Raw genomic sequence first — 24,929 nt, forward strand, 5'->3', positions numbered from 1 at the left:
AATTCACATAAAAATTATGTATATTTGAAGTATACAACATAATGTTTTAAAATATGCATACATTGTAGAAAGGCTACATTGAGGTAATTAACATATATATTACTGCATATATCATTTTTTTTGTGGCAAGAACACTTAAAAGGTACTCTCAGTGATTTTCAAGTATAGACTACATTATTAACCATAGATGCCATGTTGTACAATAGATCTCTTGAATTTATTCCTCTTATCTAACTGAAATTTTGTAATCATTGGCCATTTCCCCAAGCCCCCCACCCCCTAGCCCCTGGTAACCACCATTATACTCTCTGCTTCTACCTCTCTAGACACCCGCCCCCCCGAGTCAGATACAAGGGCACCCAGTTGGCAGAGCCTGGATCCCATGCCCACATACCTTGGGACCCGGGAGCAGAGGGAGAGGGACTATCTGCCCCTCTTTTGCTCTGTGATGAGAGGGAGGCTGGTTTCTCACCTAGTTTGGGATTTACCCATAGGAAGGATAGTTAAATGCTTGACAGCCACAGAAACAGTTGTTCTGGGGAAGTTTGTGAGTCTCAGGAGGGCAGTGTGTGTCACCTGTCTCTGACTGGTTTGTTCAGGGAAAAGCTGGTATTGGTTATAGCTCCATGGCAACGTTAAGCGGTTTGCAAAGTTTCCATTTGCTTTAGTCAATCCACACAGCGATTGTGTTGCTTTTTTCCTTCACCATCAATTACCTGCATGAGGCATGGATAAACTTTGATTTTGTTTCAACATACTAATAGCATGCTAGGGAGTGCTCCTGTTGCATGAAGCAATGATAAAGTTCTGCTTTAGGGCACAGATGGGTCCACCTTATACTGCCCATCTCATCATAACACACGTAACTTACGATGTTTTCAATTCATGATAGGTTTATTCAGACATAACCCCATTGTAAGCCGAGGAGCATCTGTACATACTTAGAGAAGTAAAACCTAAGTGTTCAGTTAATGAAAGTCAGAATGTGAACATTCATGAGTCTCTCTTGGGTGCCCCTTCTGGACTTCTGCATTTTCCTTCCCCTTAGATATAAGCACTATTTGGATGTTTATATATCCAATTCTTGTCCTTTTATTTCTTTTTCTTGCCTAACCTTTCCTGCTAGAATTTCTGGGACAATGTTAAATAGCAGTTGTGATAGCAGGCATTTATGTCTTATTCCCAAATTTGAAGGAAAAGACATGTTTATCATTAATCATGATGTCTGCTCTAAATTTGTTACATTTTATGACATTAAGGAAGTTGTCTATTATTTCTGTTTTGCTAAGAGTTTTTATCATGAATGGATGTTGAATTTGTCACATGCTTTTTTTCCTGCATCTGTTAAGATCCTCATTTTTATTTACTGTTTTAATATTTATTATTTACTATTTTTATGTGTGTGTTTCTTTTATTTACTGTTTTAAAAGGACTTTACAGAAGTCACCCCAGGACTAAAGTGGATAGAAAACATTTTTGGTTTTTCTTTCAAGTTATCCTACCTTTAGTACCATATATCACGCAATATTTGCCATATATCATGCAATATCAAGGTTGGAAGGAACCGTAGAGGTCATACACCACTATTATCTGTCACCCAGGCTCATGAATCATCTCTGTTGTTGCTAAGTGGTTGGTTGTTCACCTGCATCTGTTCGAATATTTTCGGGTATGAAAAATGTACTATCCTTGTCCATTCTATTTTTGGAAATCTCTGGTTCCAGAAAATCATTTATTGTGTGAGCTGAAATGTGCCTCAGTGTCAGATTCATGCTTTGGTCCAAGGTTTGCCCTATGGAACATGTAGGACAAGTGTTCCCTGAGGTATGGGTAGAGGCAGTGTGTTTAGTGGGAAGCTGGTAGTCTTCAGAATTAAGCAGATCTGGGTTCACTTTCTGGCTTAGCCATTGACAAGCTGAGTGAGTCTGGATACTATAGAAGATGGCTTAACAGCCATAATTCCTTCCATCCCAGTATGACCCTCCTTTGCAATGTGACTTTGCAACTCCTCAAATCCAGAGGTAGATTCCATTTTTCCACCTCCTTGAATCTGGGCTGGCCTTTGAACTTGCTTTGGTCAACAGAATGTGGAGAAAGTCATACTGGAAAAGGTCTGAAGCTTAGGTCTCAGGGGCCTTGCTCCTTCTGCCTAGTTCCTCTTGGGATGCTGCCCTGAACCTGCCATATAAGGAAGTAATCTAGCCTATTAGATGTAAGAGGATGCTTGGAGGAGAACCGAGGTGTCCCAGCCAACAGCCTGCATGCTCTGACTAGAGCTTCTTCAATGTCAGCTCCTCCCCTGAACTTATGCAGGTGTTTTCTTGGAACTTAAATGTAAGACTTAACATTTAATCCGGAGGAATTTATTTTGATTTTTAGAGATGGGGTCTCCCTTTGTCATCCATGCTGGAGTGCAGTAGTGCAATCACAGTTCACTGTAGCCTCAGACACCTGGTGTCAAGCAATCCTCCCACCTCAGCATCCCAAGTAGCTGGGACTACAGACCCACACCACCATGCCTGGTTAATTTTTGTTTGTTTGTTTTTGTAGAAACGAGGTTTCACTATGTTGCCCAGGCTAGATTCGAACTCCTGGCTTCAAACAATCCTCCTGCCTCAGCCTCCCCAAATACTGGGATACAGGCATGAGCTATGGTGCCCAGCCCGAAATTTCTTTTTGTTAGTCTTAGCAGAGCACTCCACCTGTGCCAGGGCAATCGTGTTTTTTTTTTGTTTGTTTGTTTTGTTTTTTTGAGACGCAGTCTTGCTCTGTCGCCAGGTTGCAAACTCCACCTCCCAGGTTCAAGCAATACCCCTGCCTCCCTGCCTCAGCCTCCCGAGTAGCTGGGACTACAGGCACGCACCACCACCCCCAGCTAATTTTTGTATTTTTAGTCGAGAAGGGGTTTCACCACATTGGCCAGGATGATCTCGATCTCTTGACCTCGTGATCCACCCGCCTCAGCCTCCCAAAGTGCTGGGATTACAGGCGTGAGCCACCACTCCCGGCCAATTGTGGTTTTATATCTGTCATTTATTTCTCCACTTAGTTCATCTAGATCAGATGATTATTACTTCCATGTTTTCTATCAGTTCCTAAAAAAAAAAAAAACGTGAAATAGGACCGTGCCAGGGAAGGAAGCTTAAGGGACACTACTAAACACCTCTTCCATGCCTGTCACTGAGCCAGTCAATATTATTAACTATGTTATGCATGCATGTTATTTCCAAGCCTACAGATTGCTTTCACACATTAGCGTGTTCATCCATAGTGAATGTGGCCAGCGGAAATCTATATGGGCAGTAACATTCTTTCCTGAAGTCAAGATATACCACGTCTAGTAATGCTCTCCTGAATAAGTTATTTATTGAGTATCGACATCACAATCTACGTCTTTTCTCTTTGTTTATTGGATCACAGTGAATATAAAACTATACCTATAGTTACGATTATACAAAAGAATCTTAAGTCAGTGGTCATGGGTAAGACAGTAAACCAATTTATCTGCTTTCAGAGCTTTTAAGAAGTCAAAGTGCAAAAATGACAGTTTTGTGCAAAAAGAATTTTCAACGAGCCTGACAGCCAAAATATACCTGAAGTCGCTGCGAGACTTTACTTGGATTTTCATGAGATCGTTTGTGTGTGAGCACGCTCGTGTTTTTCCCAGAGCAGGTGTAATGATGGGTCTTTACTTACTCTCCCCACTCCCCACCCCCTTCGCACACTCTTTCACCTTGGGAAGGGTATGGGAATGAAGAAAGGAGTGTTAATCGGGTTCCCAGCGTTCCCTTATCTTTCACCTAGCTCCCTAACTACTGTGGATGTTAGGTTTGGGCACACCCATTTCAAGACAAGGAGACTGGTTCTCGAGGGAAGTGTGAGACTGAAGTTACAGAGCCTGTCAAAAGCGGAGCCTTATAGAGGGAGTAAAATCCCACGTGCTTCGTGCTGCAGCAGCTGGAGGGTGGACCTGGGTCGACCTGGGGGGATGCTCAGCCCTGCGGGTCCGGGAGCGCGCAGAACAGCGGGGAGGGCTTCTCCCTCTTCTGGGTAGGGGCGCGCTAGGTGGAGCCCCACCTCCCCTCCGCGGAGACCCACCCTCCGAGCCGGGAGAGGCGTTGCGGGGGGGTGGGGGGGGCGTGTCCCCTGGCGCAGCGCGGCCAGCGCGCACGCGCAGCGGGCGGAAGGTGCCCGGGCCCACTTTGAGCGCGCGGCTGCGCACTGAGCCGCCGGCCCTCCCGGAAGCGCAGAGCTCCGCTGGTGCCACGTCTATCCCCTTACATCCTCCTAGGACCCGGTCGGTAGTCGTCGCCCCAGCCCGCCGGGGGCGCAGCGCCCGAGCCGCGGCCCTCGAGACGGGACCGAGAGCATCATGGGCAGCACTGTCCCGCGCTCCGCCTCCGTGCTGCTTCTGCTGCTGCTCCTGCGCCGGGCCGAGCAGCCCTGCGGGGCCGAGCTCACCTTCGAGCTGCCGGACAACGCCAAGCAGTGCTTCCACGAGGAGGTGGAGCAGGGCGTGAAGTTCTCCCTGGATTACCAGGTGAGGCCGGGCGCCCGGCAGCGCTCCCTTCTCCCTCCACTCCCAGGTCTCACCTGGACACTGGCTAGCCCCTGACTGGAGGCGCTCGAATTAGCCACAGGCTACAGGGAGGCTGCATGGGGTGGGAGTCCCCGGAGACCAGTTGACTTCCCCGTGAGGAGGAAGGTTTGGGTCATCAGGGCCCACCCGAGACGAGCCTGGCCAGCGAGGAGGTAGTCAGCGCCGCAGGTGCGAGCCCGGGATGGGGACGCCAGGGCGGATCCCGCAGCCTGGGGAGCTGGCCAAAGAGATATCCGCAGGCCCCCGAGACACTAACCAACGGCAGTTCTGATCGGCTGGACACAGGCTCTCTAACCCCAGTCTCTTAGACCACCTTGTGCCTTCGAGTACTGAAAAATGGCAGCAAGAGGAAGTGGGCTCATAGTTTTAGTTTATTCCTCCCCTCTCCAGCGTTTAAAGTTGGAGTGAGGTGAGGGCAGCAGAAGTGAGAATGGGCACTTTGGAAAGGAGGGATCAGTGCAGCCATTGAGGCCTGGCGGTGTTTACAAGGAGCGGTGTGGCTGCAAGACTTGGCTCTTGCCATATGGCTTAGAAAAGCTCAGTTCCTGTATTCCTGTCTCCTTTGAGAGATCCCGTGGCCCACAGGTGACAGGAGCAGGTCTTGAGTGAGTAGTCTGCCCCGATATTTAGTGAGCAGGTCTAGGGTTGGGGGCCAAGTGGGCATCATACTCAGACAGCTATCTGCTTGTGGACGCATGCTGATAGGCACTTCAGAAATGAGGGGCCACGGGCAGCAGGAATGGGGGCAAGCTATTTGACCAGTTCCTCTGTGGTTAGAGGCACTGAAGGAAGCTTGCGCTTGGAGACAACTTCTATGTGGTAGTCTCAGTCACTGATTTGTCCACTTTCAGGTCTTTGTGGACAACATGCAAATTGTGACTGGGTTAACATGGGCAACCTAGGTGCAATGACAAAAAGAATGATAATTCTGTGGTTGCAGGGACCTCAGATGTCATCTGGTCACTGCCAGGGCGGAAATCCCTTGTCAAAGTGTGTCCAGCCTGGGTTTAAACACACTTAGCAACAGGATACTCACTGCTTTTTGCAAAGCTTGCTGAGCAGGACTAGTAACTTTTGTCCGGACAAAGAGGCCATTTAAATTTGGAAGCAGATGGAGGCCATTGACCGTGTCCTTTGATGGATCTTGGTTATAGCCATTGCCTACCTGTGAGATTTTGCTTTATGTGGGTCTTATTTTTCTTATGTTACAAGGAGAGTTTGAACTAAATGATTCCCAAAGACTCTTCCACCGCTGACACTCAGAAATTCCATGAATACTTCGATCAATATTTTTCTTCTCCTTGCATTCAGTCATTAATAATATATTGTTAATAGCTACTTGACCCATTCAGCAAGCCAAGAATGACCCTTGCTGGTGGGGGGAGGGGGAACACCTGTCTGTTATTGGAACGGAGAAGCAGGAGGTGCAGCATGCATGCTCTAGGGTGGCCCCCAAATCAGATCCCACATCTCCACTGCAACCCCAGGGGGTTAGTTTGCAGTCTGACGATTGTCCAGTAATTGGCTGGCACTTTTGGGGCCCTTGCTAAATTTATGTTGGACACCGTGCTAAACACTTTAGGTGTGATAACTTATTGACTCCTCACTTCATGGATAAAGACATATCCTCAGAGAATAAAGTAACTTGTCTAGGGTCACATGGCTAATGAGTGGCAGTGCCCTAAATCAGTGATTTGCTGTGTGTCTTGTGTTAAGTATTGAACAAAGATAAAGAATCGGTGGCATCTAGTTGCATTGGAATAGTTTCTTGGACATCCCTCCTCATCTTGCTCTTGATTTCGGGAAGCTTTATCAGCACCATCTCAGGAAGAGCAGTTATCCTGGGGTATGTTCATTCATGCTTCAGAATAGTGCAATAGGTAAATGTTTAGGCACTGGAACCAAAAGCTCTCAAGGCAGATCTCATCTCACCACTTTCTCTTGTGTAACCTTAGGGAATTTACTTAACCTTGGAACCTCAGTTTCTTCTTCTGTAAAATGGAAAGGATTAGGCTCATTGAAACCCTGCAGAGCAAACTTGGGAGTCAGGCAGGCATAGATTCAAATCTTAGCCCTTTCACTTTCAAGCAGTGTGACCACAGCCAATTTATTTAACCTTGCTCAGCCTTAGTAAAATGAGAAGTGGCGTAGCACCTGCCTTAGAAAGTTTTGAAGATGAAGTGACAGAAATGTTTGTAGAGTCTGATCACAGTGTCTGGTTGGCATTTGGTAAGTGGTGGTTGCTCCTTTGATAACAGCAATTTTTTTATGGTTGTCAGGTCATCACTGGAGGCCACTACGATGTTGACTGCTATGTAGAGGACCCCCAGGGGAACACCATCTACAGAGAAACGAAGAAGCAGTACGACAGCTTCACGTACCGGGCTGAAGTCAAGGGCGTTTATCAGTTTTGCTTCAGTAATGAGTTTTCCACCTTCTCTCACAAGACCGTCTACTTTGACTTTCAAGTGGGCGATGAGCCTCCCATTCTCCCAGACATGGGGAACAGGGTCACAGCTCTCACCCAGGTGAGTGAACATTAGCAGTTCGGGGCTGCTGAACCCCCTAGCGTGTTCCTCTTCATTGGCCTCTGTCTAGGCTGGTGGTGGGAGTCATCATCCATCCAGCTCCCAGTCTGGAAGTCTCAGGGTTGGTTTTGTCTCTTTCTTCATACCTAGTCCTAAAGGATGCCATGCTCTTCTTTCGATCTTCCTTTCCACTCTCTAACCAGGTCCCTGCAGTACTTTCCTCTGACATTCCTGTCTCTACTCTTTCATTCCCACTCAGTCTTTTGCACAGTACCACTTTCGAAGTACCTGTGTCATGTGTCTCTGCTTATATGATGTGCCTGTATCATAAAGACCAAAGTCCTACTTTGTGTGGTGTATTAGTTAAGGTAACACAAGGTGCTGTAACAAAATAAACACCAAACATCAATGGCTTAACAGAATAGAAGTTTATTCTCATGCATAATCTAGAAAAGGTTGGTGGGGAGCTTTCCTCCATGGTGTGACTCAGGAATCCAGGCTCATTCTTTCTTGTCATCTTTCTGTCTTCCCTTAGGGCTTCAGGGTCTTCTGCCTGTAGCTGCCAAAGGAAGAGAGAATGAGAAAAGCCCATCTACTTCTTAAAAGCCCAGGCCCAGTGGGAATACGTATCACCTGCTCATGTCCCATGGGTGAGAACTTAGTCATGTGGCAAAGCTGGATGAAAGGAAGGCTGGCAAGTAGAGCCTTAGCAACAGCTCCACACTATGGAGGAGAAACGGTGACATTTTGGGGGGATAGTCATGTCTGTCGCCCATGGCTGTCAAGGTTCATTATTCTCTGATCCCATCCTCCTTCGTCTGTCTTCCCTTCTGCTATTTAAGCCCCTCCTTCCCTTTCATATGCAGGCTGGGGGCTTCCTGAGGGCTAGGACCCTGAATGATTTACTTTTGTATCCTCAGTGCTTCAGTGCATAAGGTAGGGCACAGGAAGGAGCTCACCAAATACTTGTGAAATGACTGTCAGGGCCCAGGGAAACCTGTAAGACAGGAATAACCATCGATAGCAGCACGTGTGCCAGAACCAAAGCCACAGCGTCTTGAACTTTCAAGGAGGCCAGATGATCTTCTGGGCCGCCTTCCAAGGTGGCATCCTTCCTCTGTGGCTCTGGGCACACTCACGAGTGCCTGTGGATTCATTTGCCCAGTCTTCCACCTTCCCTAAGCAGTTGGAGGCTAGAGCTGCACTGTTCAGTACAGTAGCCAGTGTCTAAATTTGGCTATTTAAATTAATTAAAATTAAATTAAAAATTCACTTCCTCATCTGCACCATAGCAATACTCCAGGTACTCAATAGTCACAGGTGGCTAGTGGCCATGCATAGAAAGTTCCATTGTCCAAAACTGGGTTTGATCTTTGGGCTTTTGGCAACATGACTTCTGTTAGAAGATCCAGCCGAGGGTGTGTATTGTGTGTAAGATCTTTTGCAACCGATACTCATGAGAGTTCTGTTGGCCACTGTTGAGACAGCCTCTATTGGGAAGATTCTGTAAGTCTCCAAAAGCTGAGCTGAAGAACTTCCCCCTTAACCAGTAGAAAACAAATTGGTAGGAAAAGCCTTAAAGAATTAGGTCAACAGAGACATTCTTTCCTGGAGCCTGAGCAGTAGTTTGATTTTGTTGCAGGAAAGAGTGATTTATGCTTCCCTTTTCTTATATCTTAGAACCTCTTCTTTGCTCCTGCTTAGCCTCAAAAGAGCCGTTTCCTTCCACTTCTCTTACCCCGCCACCTTGAACCATCTGTGCCTGCCTTTGAGAGTACTTGCTTTTATGCCAGAATTCACTCAGTCTACACATTGTGCCAGCCGTGGATGGCTCTGTGCCTGGTACTGGGCACCCTGCAAGGAGCGCAGCCCTGCAAGCCAGTTGGCTATGGGGCACTGTGGTCAGAGCTGTAATTGAAGCGCCAGGAGTCTTGAGGAGGCACTGATGAATTCTTCCAGGAGTCAGGAAGGCTTCACTTGAAAATGTAGAAGCTTGGCCTTCTAGGTGAAGAGAACAGGTGAGATTTATGGAGTGTAACTTTCATTCTTCTCGCCAGCGCTTTTTATCTTGCTTGGCATGGGTCCCCCTTTACCCAGCAGCTGCTGTCTCGCCTCTCCCCAGACTTCTTGCAGCACAGTGGTGAGCCAGAGGCCATGGTTTCTGGCAAGAAAGTAAGTATTAGGTGAAAGAACAGGTTCCATAGTGACCAGGGCCCAGGCCAGGGATTCAGGTCCAAAGGACTTGTTTCAGGCCGGAGTTCAGGAAAACCAGGCTCCTAGGAGAGGACCTGGGCCAGGAGAATGCGACTTCAGGAAAGCCAAGCTCGAGGGGCTTCCAGGCTTCCTGAGAATCTGGGAAGATCCTGGTCAGAGCTGAAGGTTTCTGACAGAGGTCAAAGGCCAAGAGCTACCTCCCTGGTGATCTAGGAAGGATTAAAGGTTTTCTTAAGTGCTCTGATGCCAGCTTCTACTTCCCTGTCTTTGAGTTCTTGAAGAATTTGAAGAAGCAGATACTTGGGTCAGGGGAGGCCTGATGAGGTGAGGGCTGCAGGAATTTGTCAGTGGTTACAGACTGAAGACCTCGGCATCCGCTGGTGGCTGGGACAGGATGGGATGTCAGCGTGGAGATGGAGGAAAGGGATGGTGCCAGAGGTGGGATGGGTCAGGGTGTCCTAGAGACCGACAGTCACCATGAAGTGGCAACTATAATCCCTGTGAGGCTCCAGGACACTGGAAGCCAGCCAGGACTGGTGGTCTTAGCAGGGCGGAAGGTCACACACGAGGAGACCTGGGGACTCGTGGCCTGGAAAAACAGGACCCTGAAAACAGAGGGGTTCTGTTGGTTTTCTGCTGGGTGGGAAGCTGGCTGAGGGACTGCCTAACTGAAATTTTGTGGTAACAGGCTGAACAAGTTTGCTTTAGATGAGCACTAACTGAAGATCTCAGCGGATGGGGAAGTAGCATGTTTTTGTGGTGAGGGTGAGCATCCAGGTAGCTGTGATTCTTGGGGATGATTCTCGGGGATGTATTGCTCTGGGGTCTCTTGCAGCGTCTGTGCAAGGTCCTGAAGGCGTCTGCAGGTGTTAGTTGCCAAGAAAGCTGTAGAGTATCACCTGTTGCTCCGTTACCCTCTTGGAACTGGTCCCTTTGCTATCACTGATCTGATCTGAGATTGTTCCTTTAAAGGCCACGAGGCCTCTTCATGCAGTCTCCGTGCCGGTTTCTGGCCTGTGTCGCTGGATCTAGGCCTTTAAAGTGATGCTTCACATAAATATCTGACTCATCCTCTGTCTTGGTGTCTACACCTGTGATTTCTGTGTCCTCCCTCTTCTTTTTCCCTTCCTCCTTCCTCTCCAGTGACTCTGGGTCCTGGGAGAAGGCTGGAGATGCTGACCAGTACTGCTGAATTCCCAGGCCAGGGCCTACGGTCCAAGGAGTCCCCAGTCAAGTGAGTCTAGTTGTACACTTTGTTTCTGAATGAGTTTGTGACACATAAACTTGGAGAATGGAATTATAGCCTGGAAAATCAAATGAGCCCTTCCACAGTGTTCTCTGCGGATTTGTACATACAAACATGTATGCATATGTGTACATATGAATACATATGTGTGTGTGCCACACATACATATACACATATACTACCTATGACCATGATACATACATGTATACACTTATGTGTGTGTCTCCATCCCTCCCACTGATTTCAAGAATGATCCACTTTGTTATGAAGTCCTGTGATTTCAGTGCCATCAATTTCCCTCCAGTCCACTCTTCCCTGACATGGCGACCTTCTTAACCGAGGCCTGCATCTTCTCTTCCCAGTAGAATTGCAGCCACCTAAGTGGTTTCCCTGCCTCTAAACTGGTTCGCATACATCCCTTTCTGCATCATAGCTGCCAGAGGCAGATTCTCGTAAAGTGGGATTCCGATCTTGCCAATCTTCTGCTCACAGAGCCACACGATAAAGTCTTGGACCTCGAGGCCCTTTACTGTGAGCTTCCACCTCCCCACAGCTGCTTCTCCACGCATCCCCATCACCATGTCAGTCCCTGATCCCAGACCAGGCCCTGTACAGTTCTTTGCCTGTGCTTCTGCTGCTTGGGATGTGTTCTCAGCCTGGTGACGTCCTGCCCATCCATCAGGGCTCAGCTTGTCGTGTCCCATGTCAAGTACTCCATCTTCTCTGGCAGGCTCAGCATCTTTCTCCTGGGGTGTTCCTGCCGCTCTGCATACCCTTCTGTTGTTGGCTGTTTATACTGCATTCTAGTTGAGTAATTTTTTCTTTAAATTGGGAACTTTCTGAGACCCAGGACTGTGTCTGGCTCTGATTCTTAATTCCCTGGGCCTAGCACAGTGCCTGGAAGGAAAGTAAGCATTGAGTAAATGTTTGAATGAAGGAATTAGTGGAAGTGTGAGCTATTCAAACTCAGCCATGATTTGAAATCCTTGTAACCTCATCCTACAAGTGTCTATCCTGAGTCCCCCAGCCCCACCTTCAATCCTTTGTGATTTTCCAGGGATCACCAGGGTGATGTAAATACAGAACGGATTTGTGTTACCAAGTCTGCCTGTATAGGTAGTGCCTGGCAGGGAGCACTAGGGAGGCTTCTAGAAATGGCATATCTTGAGTTAGCTTTGACACAGGTTCACATAGGTTAAGCCCGACTCCACATTGACCTCTTTCCTGCTTCCTTCCCAGTTTAGTGTCCTGTTCCATCTGTGACAGCTGACATGCTTTAGTGAGCTTTGGAAGCATTCCCCGGAGAGCTAGGAGGAGCAACCACAAATGCGACCATTGTCCCCAGTGCAGAGGCCTACACCTGAGCTTTCTTTTCTGGTGGTTGGCCTTTGAAGCCAGTTGGCTTTGGAAGTTCCCTTTGGAGTCAACTTCCTGATGTCTGGAACCCTTCTTAGGATCATTTGTTCCTTTTTCAATATCAAATGTCTGCAGGTATAGCCCACCTACCAAATGCAGGGAAGTGAAGAAGTCCAATGCTGACTACACTCCAGTTGTGAAAGATGATATGTAGCCCAAAATAATAGAGGATAGAGGATGTCACTGAGAAAACAGGACAGAGGTACTCATGGGGGACAAATAGGCTTGTTCTTCACTTGCTATTGCTCCTTGAGCTGGTGTACCCAGTCTAACTCTATCAGTTCCATCTGATACACAGTGATCATGCCACCTTTCTACGTGTGACATTTCACCACTTCTTACACATGGACCTGGATGAGAGGGCCAGCCACTGTGTGCAGGAGAGTCCCATAGCCTTGGGAGGTAGACCTGTTGCCAGAAAGAGGGAAGCTGCTGCCCTGTAATGCAGAGGCAGAAGGGAAGCTTTTGTTCTTCCTTACATAGTCTAGTTCAGCTCCTAGAATGGCCCAGAATTAAGGATACCCAATGAGGCAAGTAAGGGTAACACCATTGTTTGGCAGTGGTTTCCTGTTTGTCTTCTGGAAGTGGTTTAATGTGAGAGAGAAACAAGGGTTTTGGGGAGGTGTAGGGTCCAGCCCCACAGGGTGGATGGGTTTTCTCCCTATGTGTGGAGACGAGAGATTGTAGAAATAAAGACATAAGACAAAGAGATTAAAAAGAAGACAGCTGGGCCCAGGGGACCACTACCACCAAGACGCAGAGACTGGTAGTGGCCCCGAATGCCAGGCTGCGCTGATACTTATTGGATACAAGACAAAGGGGCAGGCTAAGGAGTGTGAGCCATCTCCAATGATTGGTAAGGTCACGTGTCCACTGGACAGGGGGCCCTTCCCTGCCTGGCAGCCAAGGCAGAGAGAGAGAGAGAAGAGAGAGAGACAGCTTATGCCATTATTTCTGCATATCAGAGACTTTTAGTACTTTCACTAATTTGCTACTGCTATCTAAAAGCCCAGGTACACAGGATGGAACATGAAAGAAGACTAGGAGTGTGACCACTGAAGCACAGCATCACAGGGAGACAGTTAGGTCCCCGGATAACTGCGGGTGGGCCTGACTGATGTCAGGCCCTCCACAAGAGGTGGAGGAGTAGAGTCTTCTCTGAACTCCACTGGGAAAAGGGAGTCCCCCTTTCCCAGTCTGCTAAGTAGCGGGTGTTTTTCCTTGACACTGACGCTACCGCTAGACCACAGTCCACTTGGCAATGGGCGTCTTCCCAGACACTGGCATTACCGCTAGACCAAGGAGCCCTCTGGCGGCCCTGTCCAGGCATAACAGAAGGCTCGCACTCTTGTCTTCTGGTCACTTCTCACTATGTCCCCTCAGCTCCTATCTCTGTGTGGCCTGGTTTTTCCTAGGTTATGATTGTAGAGCAAGGATTATTATAATATTGGAATAAAGAGTAATTGCCACAAACTAATGATTAATGATATTCATATATAATCCTATCTATGATCTATATCTAGTATCACTATTCTTATTTTATATATTTTATTATACTGGAACAGCTCGTGCCCTCGGTCTCTTGCCTCGGCACCTGGGTGGCTTGCCGCCCACAGGAAGGGAGGTCACAGAGTGACTTGGTCTTTTCTAGTTTATTGTACTGTACTTTACAAATAGTTTGCCTTTGGAGTTTGGGAACTGAAGTGAGTGTCTGGTGCATGCTTTGTGAATTCCTCTAGCCTGAGAACTCACTGATAGGATAGAATTTTCTAGGTCTTGGATACATGGTGGTTTAGAGGCTGCCTCTGAATAAGAACTCAACGTTTTCCCACAGGCATAATGTGTTGTCTATTGCTGAGTAACTAATTACTACAAACATAGTGTCTTAATGCAATACTCACTTATTACCGCACAGCTCTGTATGCTGTGAGCCTGGGCAGGTTGGCCAGATTCTTTGGGGTCTCCCAAGCCTGATGTCGAGGTGGTGGCAGGTTGGGCTCCTACCTGGAAGCTCTGGGGAAGGATCTGCTTTCATGCTCATTCAGGTTGTTGGTGGAGTTCAGTTCTTTGTGGTTGTAGGACTGAGGTCCCCATTTCCTTGCTGACTGTTGTACCCTCAACGCCTGGAGGCCTTTTTCTGGTCCTGGCAAGTGGTCACCTCCACCTTCAAAGCCAGTGTGGCACATTGAATTTTTCTCATGCTTCAGAACTGTCTTGACTTCTTCTGCAACTAGCTGGAGAAAGCTCCTGGCGTCTGAGGGCTCCTGTGATGGGATCAGGCCTGAATAACCTCCCCATCTTCAGGTCAGCTGTGTCATATTAACGTGATGCAGTCACAGAGGTGACAGCTCATCATATTCACAGCTTTCTGGAATTAGGGCGGGGGACCTTGGTGGTGGTGGGAAGGACATTTTCAGACTTCTGCCTACCACACTGAATATTTTTGCAGGTAAAGAAAGTTATGATGTAGTATGTGTTACACATGAGCGTATGTGTCTATGTAGTGCCTGTTTATATATATGTGTCTTTGCATGTGTGTGCATGTGCTTACATACATGAAGCGTGTGTCTTCATGTGTTTGTGTTTATACATAAAACTATAGGCAGCAATTACATAATAGAATGAGCATGAGCAGTGGATTCAGAGTCCAAACACAACTGTGGTCTAGTTCACACTTTGCTGTTTATTAGTTGTATGACTTTGGGCAATTCGTGTAGCCTCTTGGAGCCTCAGTTTCCTCATCTGTGTGTGGGATAAGCCCTCGTTAACAGTGAGGGTAATGATCCGTGCCTATCAGGAGTATTGTAAGGATTGAATAAGAGAGTATAGGGCAGTGCTTGAAAGCATAGGCTCAGGACTCAGACTCTAACTCAGCCACATACTAACTGTGTGACTCTGGGCAAGTTACTTAACCTCTCTGAGCTTCAATTAGGCTTGTTGTGAGGATTAAATAAAACCACGTAAAACCCTTAGCACAGACTCTTAGTTAGCATTCAGTGGATATCACCTAGGATGTTGACAACAGCATTTGCTGTTTGCTGGATCCCACATTTGTCTATGGGTTAGCAGTGTGACTGCTTTTCTCTTCCTGCCCAGATGGAGTCCGCCTGCGTGACCATCCATGAGGCTCTGAAAACGGTGATTGACTCCCAGACGCATTACCGGCTGCGGGAGGCCCAGGACCGGGCCCGAGCAGAAGACCTTAATAGCCGAGTCTCTTACTGGTCTGTTGGCGAGACGATTGCCCTGTTCGTGGTCAGCTTCAGTCAGGTGCTACTGTTGAAAAGCTTCTTCACAGAAAAACGACCCATCAGCAGGGCAGTCCACTCCTAGCCCCGGCATCCTGCTCTAGGGCCCCTCATGCCCCAGGCTGGAGCAGCTCTCCTAGGTCACAGCCTGCTGGGCTGGGTCGCGTAGCCCAGGGTGGAGGCAGAACGATGCTGCTGTGGTAGCCCTTTGCCTTTCATGCCCATGCTTGATTCTTGCACCTCAGCAGCTGAAGGTCTCAGAGACCAGTAATCAGAAGGCATCCGACTGCATTAAGTGTGCAGCGCTGAAAAGACATTTACAACTAGGCCAGGGATTAGCCACTGTGGGAGGGTGGACAGGCAATGGTTCAGTGGCCTGGCTGTTGGCAGGAACTCCAAGTGCCCAGGCCTCTTGGGCAGCTTAGGGCCCTGCCTCTGTTTCATGATGCATGGGTCATTTGTCTTGGGTGTCCTATCCCATATGGAGAAGAAAGGGGCTCTAAGTTCTGGCTCTTCTTTCTTTGGGGTTCTCTGTACCTGAGGAAACCAGGCCCTGGGTGACTTTGCAGATCTGCTCACCCTCGGTGAGCAACAGTGTCAGCCATGCAAGCAGGACAGAATGGTGACTGGGTGCCCTTGGTGAGCTGTGTATTTCCTAGGAGGTAGAAAACTGTGGGAAACTGTGGCTAATAAAAACTAAGTGTGAGCGTCCTGGAGACTTGTGCCTTTATTTCTTTGCCCTAAAGGACTCCAGAGCTTACTGCAGAGCATGGGTGTGTGCATAAATAATTAGAATGTGACATAGAGTACCTAGAGAGGTGCATGGGGTGCTGTGCAGAGATGTATAGAGTGGGCAAGAAATGACTCCTCCCAGGTGACTGAAAACAAAATAGGAAGTCTCCTCGCATGCTCACACCATGTTGTACAACGGAACTTTGCAAATGCTGTTTCCTCTGATAATACCTTCTCCCGGATATCTGCATGCCCTGCTCCATCATTTCCTTCTGACCCAAAGGCACATTATCAGTGAAGTCCCTCCCAACCACTCTTCAAGATGGTACTGTCTCACTTGCCCTTAGTCCTCCTTGCCCATTAGTAAGAAATGAATGCATACCAATCAGATGTCTGTGCAGTAGGTCTGGAGGGAAGATACAGTGTCTCCGCTGAAGGAAACCTATCAAATCTGAAATCCTGCACCGTCTGACAGGCGTTAATGCATTGTAGGAAAGGAAGCAAAATAATCTCTTTAAAAGGATACCCCATAAGCCTCACTTATTTAGCTTGATTGAAGGATAAATGTTGCTTATCTTTCATATGTTTTTGCTATTTCTTTTCTCTTATTTTAGAATTAAGTACTGGGTATATATAAAAGGTTACTTATGAAATATGTCTAAGGTGAAATATGTCTAAAGTGAAAAACAATACAAAAATCCTATGCTCCTGCTACCTAGATTAAGCACTGCAACATGACCCATTGCTTCTGGAATGTTCTCTACCTGCCCTTCTCCTTCACCCTCTGAGGGAACCACCAGCCTGAATGTAATGCTTATCAAGCACTGAGAAAGGAGTTTAAAGAATTGAAGGACACAGCTTTACTAAAACTCACGTTGTCTTCCACTTTTTTATGGAAACTAGGTTCTTTCAACCTTAAAAAAAATAGGATTGCTGGTGATACCTGTTTTATTTATATAACCTTGTAATCATTTATCCATAAATATGTAGATTCATTGAGGGGGCAAAAACCCTGCCCCACTGGCTGATTTAGGAAATAATGTTGGCAATAAAATGTACTGCTTATGCAGTGTTTATGTTTTGATCAATTAGGTACTAATAACAGTTGAAATAACTTCCCAATCCAGAAGAAATTTTTTTTTCTTTTGAGACAGAGTCTCACTCTGTCGCCCAGGCTGGAGTGCAGTGGTGCAGTCTCGGCTCACAGCAACCTCCCCCTCCTGGGTTTACACCATTCTCCTGCTTCAGCCTCCCAAGTAGCTGGGACTACAGGCACCCGCCACCACGCCCGGCTAATTTTTTTGTATTTTTAGTAGAGACGGGGTTTCACCGTGTTAGCCAGGATGGTCTCGATCTCCTGACCTCGTGATCCGCCCGCCTCGGCCTCCCAAAGTGCTGGGATTACAGGCGTGAGCCACTGCACCCGGCCCCAGAAGAAATATTTTTAACACTTAAGCTTTACAGTTAAACAGCATATGAAACATTTTGAAATTGAAGATTTTTTGTTATAGAGAAATACAATAGGGTACTCTATATAATTTCAAACAGAGTAATACAGTTCCATAAGAAAGATGAAATGGAAGTATGACTCTAAGAAGGAAGGGGAAAGATGGAAAATTTCTGAGCATTTATTTATGGATGATGATGGGTATCAAATCGTCTTAGTAATTAGAATCCACTGAATATAATTAAAATAGTGATGTAATTTTTTAAAAAGTAATATTTAATATATGGTAGAAATTATCTCCCTTGTAACTATTTAAATTCATGATGAAATATTTTAGATGTCAGCTTTAAAAATGTATGAGGCTTTAGAGTTTCTCAAGTTCTTTTAGGGGATATTTAAGCAAAAGAAATAGGAGAGGCTATTTGCATCTGGATTTTCTGGAGAGACTCGTTGACATCTGGGCAGCATGGTGGAAAAGGGTGTCAGCATTGGCATTTTAGTAGAAAGAGGACTGGGTTGGGGCTGACCTTTCTGGATTTGAATCCAGGTCTGCTATGTGCTACTTGTGCCATCTTGGGTAAGGTACTGAACCTCTCTGAACCTTCATTTCCTCATCTGTAAAATGAGCAGAAGGGAGTATTTTTACTGGCCAGGAACTTCAGGCTTATGCATTGGTAAACAGAATTAGGATTCACCCTGTTTTCAGTAAAATCCCTTTAAATTTGAGGCCTGGGTGGAACTGACAGGTGGAGTTTGAAGGCACATCTGCTAGCTCACATAGGAAACAGAATCTCCCAGGGAAAAGACATAGGACCTCTGACTCTAACTGAGGTTCTGGATTATTATGAGAGATTTTCAGAAATGGTCTAATGGTGTTGGCTTGCTCCATACCATAGATTTTAAGAGACAGTAGAGCTTCTGCGATGAGATTCCCCCATAAAATAATTATGGATCTGCACTGGCAAGCTGGTCTTGGCTCCAAAGACCAAGAGTTGGTTTGTGGTGCTGATTCTGAACCCTTGCGATGCAACTGTCTGGTAGTAAAATGGCTTTGTATGGTAAGAAAGCTTTAATCCTCGAGGCCTAGACAACTTTACTGCAGGGCATTCTCTACAGGATGACTTTAGTGGGGAGGTGATGTTTTCTTTGTTGAAAGATAATTTTCCAAAAAAGGATAAAATCATTAAGTGTTATATAAAATGAACACGTGTATTAGGGTTCTCCAGAGGGACAGAACTAATAGGATATATGTATATATGAAAGGGAGTTTATTAAGGAGAATTGACTCACACGATCACAAGGTGAAGTCCCACGATAGGTCCTCTGCCAGCTGAGGAGCAAGGAAGCCAGTAGAGGCTCAGTCCGAGTCCAAAAACCTCAAATGTAGGGAGGCCAACAGTGCAGCCTTCAGTCTGTGGCCAGAAGCCCAAGAGCCCCCAGCAGACCACTGGTATAAGTCCAAGAATCCAAAGGCCAAAGAACCTGCAGTCTGATGTCCAAGGGCAGGAAACATCCAGCACGGGAGAAAGATGAAAGCCGGAAGACTCAGCAAGCCATCTTATCCCACCTTCTTCCACTTGCTTTGTTCTAGCGCTGCTGGCAGCCGATTGAATGGTGCCCACCCACATTGAGGGTAGGTGGGTCATCCTCTCCCAGTCCATTGAGTCAAATGTTAATCTCCTCTAGCAGCACCTTCACAGACACACCCAGAAACAATACTAGCTATCTAGGCATCTTTCAATCCAATCAAGTTGACACCTCATATTAACCATCATAGCACGTTAGAGGTTTTATTTTATGTACTAATCAATGAAGGAACCAGACAAACATCATAATGATTCAAAAGATAATTCAAAGAACAGACACATTTATACAGAGTTGTAAAACAGCTCGAAGACACTGAACCAGGCTAGAATCAGTAATCCAAAAGGATATGCTATGTGGAGAAAACACAAAGTTGCAAAAATAGCTCAAAGAGGAAACTTAGAATCAAATAGCCCGGAGGGGTGTCCAGAAATGCGTAGTTTATTTTATTAAAACCATTTTTTCCTATAACTTCAAAAGGGGCTCCTGAGCTGTCACAGCCCCTGGGGAGCGGCACTGATTTCTAGTTTAATTAATAGCAAGACCACCTGTTCCATGTTCTCTCTGGTTCTATAAGGACTCATCCCTTGGCCTCTTTATGTCTGGGATGGGAACAACTTTTAGCTATTGCTAGTCTTGGGGCTTTACCTTAACCCTGCCCAACCTTTGTAAATATTTCCTCCTTTAAACTCTCCTCAACTTAAAATAGGGAGGAGGGCGGGAAGAAGGAAGGAACAATCACTTGTTGCAGATTCTAGGTGCTATAGACAGAATATTCTGTTTCTCCCCAGTTAATATGTTGAAATTCTTCCCCACAAGGTGATGGTATTAGGAGGTGGGACATTTGGGAAGTGACAGAGTCCTGTGGGTGGAGCCCTCCTGAATGAGATTAGTGCTCTTATAAAAGAGGCCTGAGGGAAGGCCTCTTTAGTCTGCTTAGTGTTGCGATAAAGGAATACCCAAGTCTGAGTAACTTATAAAGAAAAAATGGTTTATTTGGCTCACTGTTTTGCAGGTGGGGGCATCTGGTGAGGGCCTCAGGGTGCTTCCACTCATGGCAGAAGGCAAAGGGAAGCCAGTGTACAGAGATCACAGGGTGAGACAGGTAGCAAGAGAGAGCGGTGAGGTGCCAGGCCTTGTTTAGCAACCAGCTCTTGTGGGAACTAATAGAGTAAGAGCTCACTCACTACAGCAAGGACAGCATCAAGCCATCCATGAGGGATCTGCCCCCATGGCCCAAACACCTTCCACTAGGCCCCATCTCCAACACTGGTATCAAATTTTAATATGAGGTTGGCAGGACAAACATCCAAACTATAGTGGGTCCCTAGCCCCTTCTGCCACGTGAGGATGCAGTGAGAAGACAGCCATTTATGAACCAGAAATGGGATCTCACCAAACACTAAATCTGCCAATGCCTTAATCTTGGACATCCCAGTCTCCAGAACTGTGAGAAATAAATTTCTGTTATTTATATGTCACCCAATCTGTGGTATTCTGTCATAGTAGCCTAAATGAACTAAAACTCTAGAAAACAGGGATGATTAGAACAAAACTGCAAATACACATATAATCACCCCTGGGTTGGAAAATTCTGGGAAAAGGCTGGATGTTCTTTTAAATGTACAAATGTTCGAGCACAGAGACCTGTGTATTCAGTATATTTCTTCCAGCCCTGCTGTTTGATCCTGTATGCGAATGTGCCTAGCACAATACTGGTCTGAGACAAATACTAATTTCCTTCTTTCTACTCACACGCACCCAAAAAAACACTACTAAATAAACTTGATGTGATGGTATCTGGGAGAGTCTGACCATCTAGATCTATCTATGAGAAAGTATTGTCAGACATTCTTGCTACTTCTTGTTGGAACTGGCAATTCGACAGCTTTTATTTGCTTCTCCCTGGAGTTTCAGTGTTATGTGCTATAGTCATTTGAGGGATGGTTCATTTTATCTGATCACAAGCCTTCTAAAATAAAATAGAAAATAGTTGCTTCCTTGGGGTTAGTTAGGGTGGCAGCACTCAGCCAATGGCCATATCTTTTTCTATGTGTTTGGGGGCTTGTGTAAGAATTCTAAGAGCTACAAAAGTAAATATAATATAGTTATCAACTCCTAAATGACATATAAGTGTTGGAGACTGTTCTGCTCTTCATAGAAAATGAAGCTGCTTCTGCTCAAGCTCTCTAGTGAATGCCAAAGCACGTTACTTTCTCTTGGACTTTGATTCAACAGTGGTTTAAAAAAGTCACCTTTCTTGGTAACTGTATTCATCGCAAAAGGAAAGAAGCACAAGGGAGCCAGTGGGTTGTATGATATAGGAGGAAGAAAAAGTCACGGCTGATCCTCTTAGGATCACCAAGCAGTCTTTTGATGATAATCTGGCTTCTCGTATCACTTGCCTTCGAAAAGAAAATATATTTGAGTTGCATTTTTAATTGTAAAAAAAAATTAAAAACCCCATTTTCCTTTAATTTATAAAGTAATCTTTCAGGCAATTAAAATATTAACTAAAATTTATCTATTCCCCTGACTTCTATGCAAAAAAACTGGGCCTTAAGCAGGTCTAAAGCCTGTGTGGGCTGCACCTGGGACGCGACCTTTGGTTTAGCCATGCTCACAGCCAGCCCCCCAAAATGGGCTGGGTTTGCATTGCACCTGGTGGACAGACATCTGGAAGCTGCAGAACAGTGGAGTAAGTGTATGTGTTGGATGGGGTTGGGGGCAAGGATAAGTTACAAAGACCCCATGTCACCTTCAGGTAGTGACCTGGCAAGGTGACCATCCTCCACATCAAGCCTGGAGAAACCACAGAAGCAAGAGAGAAGCCTGCATCTGAGGAACTCTCTCACACACACAGCTGTGAGAAACTGGAAGAGGGGTCTGTGGAGAGGGGTGGGAGGACACTGTAGCCTGGGGGCAGAGGCCCCTGGAGAGCACTGAGAAGCAAAGTTGGAGGAAAAACATTTCCATTCTGTGCCTGCCTCTCCCATGTGTTGCCTTAAGGCACCCACAGCCGACCCCTTTGCCATGAATTCAGTGGCACAGCCCAGGTTGCTGTTGGCCCTATGGGACAATAGCAGGTAGATCAAAGCCCCTGTCTGGGTGGAATCCAGTCCTCCTTGTCCTCCCCTTTTTAATACCTAGGGGTGGTGGATTAAAAACTAAGGCCACCATTTTATTCCAAAGTGGTTGTTTCTGAGAGTTTAAAGTGAACTTTGAATGAAGTTGTCAAGTATTAGCAAATGGGGATTTTCTTCTGTGATTTTCTCTGTCCAGGGGTTCCCTTCCTTCCCTTAAACTCTCTAAAGAGACAACAACCAGGGCCTGGCCTTTAGCCCTTCTCAATACACATCACCAGACCTCATGGGAGCATGACTCACAGCCCCAAACAGCTAGACTGCAGGGGATACAACAAATGGATACAAAATATCGTTATACCAGAATCACTGGAACATGTTGTAAGGTAAATGGATGTGCTTTGGTCAGGAATAGGCAGAGGCAGACATCCTGGCCAGAGTGACTCAGCAAGTTTAGCACACAGGCGCATAACTCCACTTGTTAAATAGCCTGTTTGTGTAAGCTTGTACTTGGCTCAGAGCCACTATTGTTTGTAAAAGGTATAACTGCCCTGCTGACATTGCACATACAGCTTGTGCCCAGAGAGGGAGAGAGTGTGAAGCTGTTGACCCTGTAAGGCAGAGGTGGCCTGGCAGGCCAGGGAATGCAGCTGTAAGTGTGGGAGCCACAGGAGCCGCAGGAGCCTCAGAGCCGGAGCAGGTAGCGGAGATAAAAGCAGACAGCATGAGAGAGCTGCTGAATAAAACCATATTTCACCTGTCTACAGCCCCCGAATGTTCTTCCTGCTGTCCGCCACCCATCCACCCACTCCCCTTGGACCTCAGCATGGGCTGGAACCTGACACTTGGTGTGACACATGTGGACCACAATTTTTTTAAGCAGCATGATAAATATACTCTACAAGAGAATATTTTAATAATATTTTGCTGTAACAAGAAGTCATAAAAAGAACCAAGTAGAAATGCTATATATGAAAAATATAAAAGTAGAATGTTAAAAATGACAGCAACAGGATGGCTATTTAGAGATGCCCGGTGGTCATTCCCCACCTCCTCGCCTCACCACACCCCAAGAAAGGCAATGACTAAACAGCTAAGGTTTAACTAACATCATATTGAACAGTGAAAAGCTGAACGCTTTTTCTCTAAGAACTGGAACAGGACAAGGATGCCCACTCTTAACCACTCTTATTCAACATAGTACTGGAAGTCCTAGCCAGAGCAATTAGGTAAGATAAAGAAATAAAGGTCATTCAAGGAGCAATTCAAATTGTCCTTGTTTGTAAATGACATGGTCTTATTCCTAGCAAAACCTAAAGACTCCACCAGAAAACTATTAAAATTGACAAATTCAGTAAAGTTGCGGGATGCAAAATCAACATACAAAACACAGTAACATTTATATATACAAACTACAACCTAGCTGAAAAAGAAGTCAAGAAGGCAATCCCATTTATAATATCTATAAAATAAATAAAATACCTAGGTATAAATTTAACCAAGGATGTGAAAAATCTCTACAAGGAAAACTGCAAATCACTGATGAAAGAAATTGAAGACGATACAGTAATTGGAAAAAATTCCCATGCTCATGGATCAAAAAATTAATATTGTTAAAAGGACCATACTACCCAAAGCAATCTGTGGATTAAAGGCAATCCCCATCAAAATACTCATTATATTTTTCTCAGAAATATTTTTAAAATCCTAAAATTTATATGGAACCATAAAAGACCCCAAATAGCCAACACAATCCTGAGCAAAAGGAACAAAGCCTGGAGGTATCACACTTCCAGACCTCAAAGTATACTGCAAAGCTGTAGTAACCAAAACAGCATGGTACTGGCATAAAAACAGACACATAGATCAAGAGAACAGAATAGAAAGCCCAGAAATTAATCTACATATCTATAGCTATATTAGTACATTCTCACATTGATACAAATAAATACCCAATACTTGGTAATTCATAAGAAAAAAGGTTTAATTGGCTCACAGTTCTGCAGGCTGTACAGGAAGCATAGTAGCATCTGTTTCTGGGGAGGCCTAAGGGAGCTTTTACTCATGAAGCCAACACTTCACATGGTGAAAGCAGGAGTATGAGACCAAGAGGGGAGGTGCCACACACTTTTAAACAACCAGATTGTGAGGACAGCACCAAGAGGTGCTAAACCATTCATGATAAATCTGCCCCCATGATCTAATCACTTCCCAGCAGGCCCCACCTCCAACATTGGGGATTACAGTTTGACATGAGATTTGGTGGGGACATAAACCCAAACCATAACACAGTGAACTGATTTTTGACAAAAATGCTGAGAACCTTCATTGGGAGGACAGTCTTTTCAATAAATGGTGCTGAAAAAACTGAAAATCCACATGCAGAAGAATGAAAGTAGACCCTTATCTTTCACCCAACACAAAAATCCACTCAAAATGATCAAAGACCTAAATGTAAGACCCCAAATGTTAAAACTATTAGAAGAAAACAAAGGAAAAACACTTCAGGACATTGGTCTGGGAAATGATTTTATAAATAAGACCTCAAAAGAACAGGCAAAAGAAGCAAAAAAAAAAAAAAAAAAAGGATAATATCAAACTAAAAAGTCTACACAGCAAAAGACACAGAGTGAAGAGACAATCTGAAGAACAGGAGAAAATATTTTCGAAGTATTCATCAGATAAAGGATTAATATCCAGACTGTACAAGGAACTCAAACATATCAAAGATAAAAAATAAATCCAATTAAACAATGGACAAACAATCTGAATGAATATTTCTCAAAAGAAGACATATAAATGGCCGACAAAATATATGAAAATATGCTCAA

At 45.6% G+C, this 24,929-nt stretch overlaps 1 protein-coding gene across 5 annotated transcripts in view, besides 6 other annotated features; it reads left to right on the forward strand.

Annotated features, from left to right (window-relative positions):
- Positions 4,079 to 4,128: a silencer, noted in NCBI's record as "silent region_6721". NCBI's record gives its function as "represses an Ori minimal core promoter by ATAC-STARR-seq in GM12878 lymphoblastoid cells {active_cell/tissue: GM12878}" and the evidence as "EXISTENCE:reporter gene assay evidence [ECO:0000049][PMID:35858748]".
- TMED3 (transmembrane p24 trafficking protein 3) overlaps positions 4,235 to 24,929 on the forward strand; it is a 102,775-nt gene continuing 82,080 nt past the window's right edge. For 2 of the 5 annotated variants that reach the window (NM_001330376.2, NM_001301203.3), the window contains exons 1-2: positions 4,235 to 4,540; positions 6,880 to 7,128. In NM_001330376.2, coding sequence (NP_001317305.1) covers positions 4,373 to 4,540; positions 6,880 to 7,128 — 417 coding nt within the window. In that variant the 5' untranslated portion in view covers positions 4,235 to 4,372. Of the gene's footprint in view, positions 4,541 to 6,879; positions 7,129 to 7,663; positions 8,401 to 15,100; positions 15,964 to 24,929 lie in introns of those variants that run through there. The other 3 variants (NR_125394.2, NM_007364.4, NM_001363735.2) reach the window with 3 other exon arrangements.
- Positions 4,339 to 4,408: a silencer, noted in NCBI's record as "silent region_6722". NCBI's record gives its function as "represses an Ori minimal core promoter by ATAC-STARR-seq in GM12878 lymphoblastoid cells {active_cell/tissue: GM12878}" and the evidence as "EXISTENCE:reporter gene assay evidence [ECO:0000049][PMID:35858748]".
- Positions 21,406 to 22,346: an enhancer, noted in NCBI's record as "H3K27ac hESC enhancer chr15:79620625-79621565 (GRCh37/hg19 assembly coordinates)". NCBI's record gives its function as "activates a minimal SCP1, AML or CMV promoter by ChIP-STARR-seq in primed H9 embryonic stem cells {active_cell/tissue: H9 hESC(primed)}" and the evidence as "EXISTENCE:reporter gene assay evidence [ECO:0000049][PMID:30033119]".
- Positions 21,406 to 23,286: a biological region, named in NCBI's record as "MED14-independent group 3 enhancer GRCh37_chr15:79621073-79622272".
- Positions 21,854 to 23,053: an enhancer, noted in NCBI's record as "MED14-independent group 3 enhancer chr15:79621073-79622272 (GRCh37/hg19 assembly coordinates)". NCBI's record gives its function as "activates an origin of replication core promoter dependent on BRD2, BRD4, P300/CBP and CDK7 cofactors, and independent of MED14, by STARR-seq in HCT116 cells {active_cell/tissue: HCT116}" and the evidence as "EXISTENCE:reporter gene assay evidence [ECO:0000049][PMID:35650434]".
- Positions 22,347 to 23,286: an enhancer, noted in NCBI's record as "H3K27ac hESC enhancer chr15:79621566-79622505 (GRCh37/hg19 assembly coordinates)". NCBI's record gives its function as "activates a minimal SCP1, AML or CMV promoter by ChIP-STARR-seq in naive and primed H9 embryonic stem cells {active_cell/tissue: H9 hESC(naive and primed)}" and the evidence as "EXISTENCE:reporter gene assay evidence [ECO:0000049][PMID:30033119]".

This window comes from Homo sapiens, chromosome 15 (genome assembly GCF_000001405.40).
Source record: "Homo sapiens chromosome 15, GRCh38.p14 Primary Assembly".
Taxonomy (NCBI): domain Eukaryota; kingdom Metazoa; phylum Chordata; class Mammalia; order Primates; family Hominidae; genus Homo; species Homo sapiens.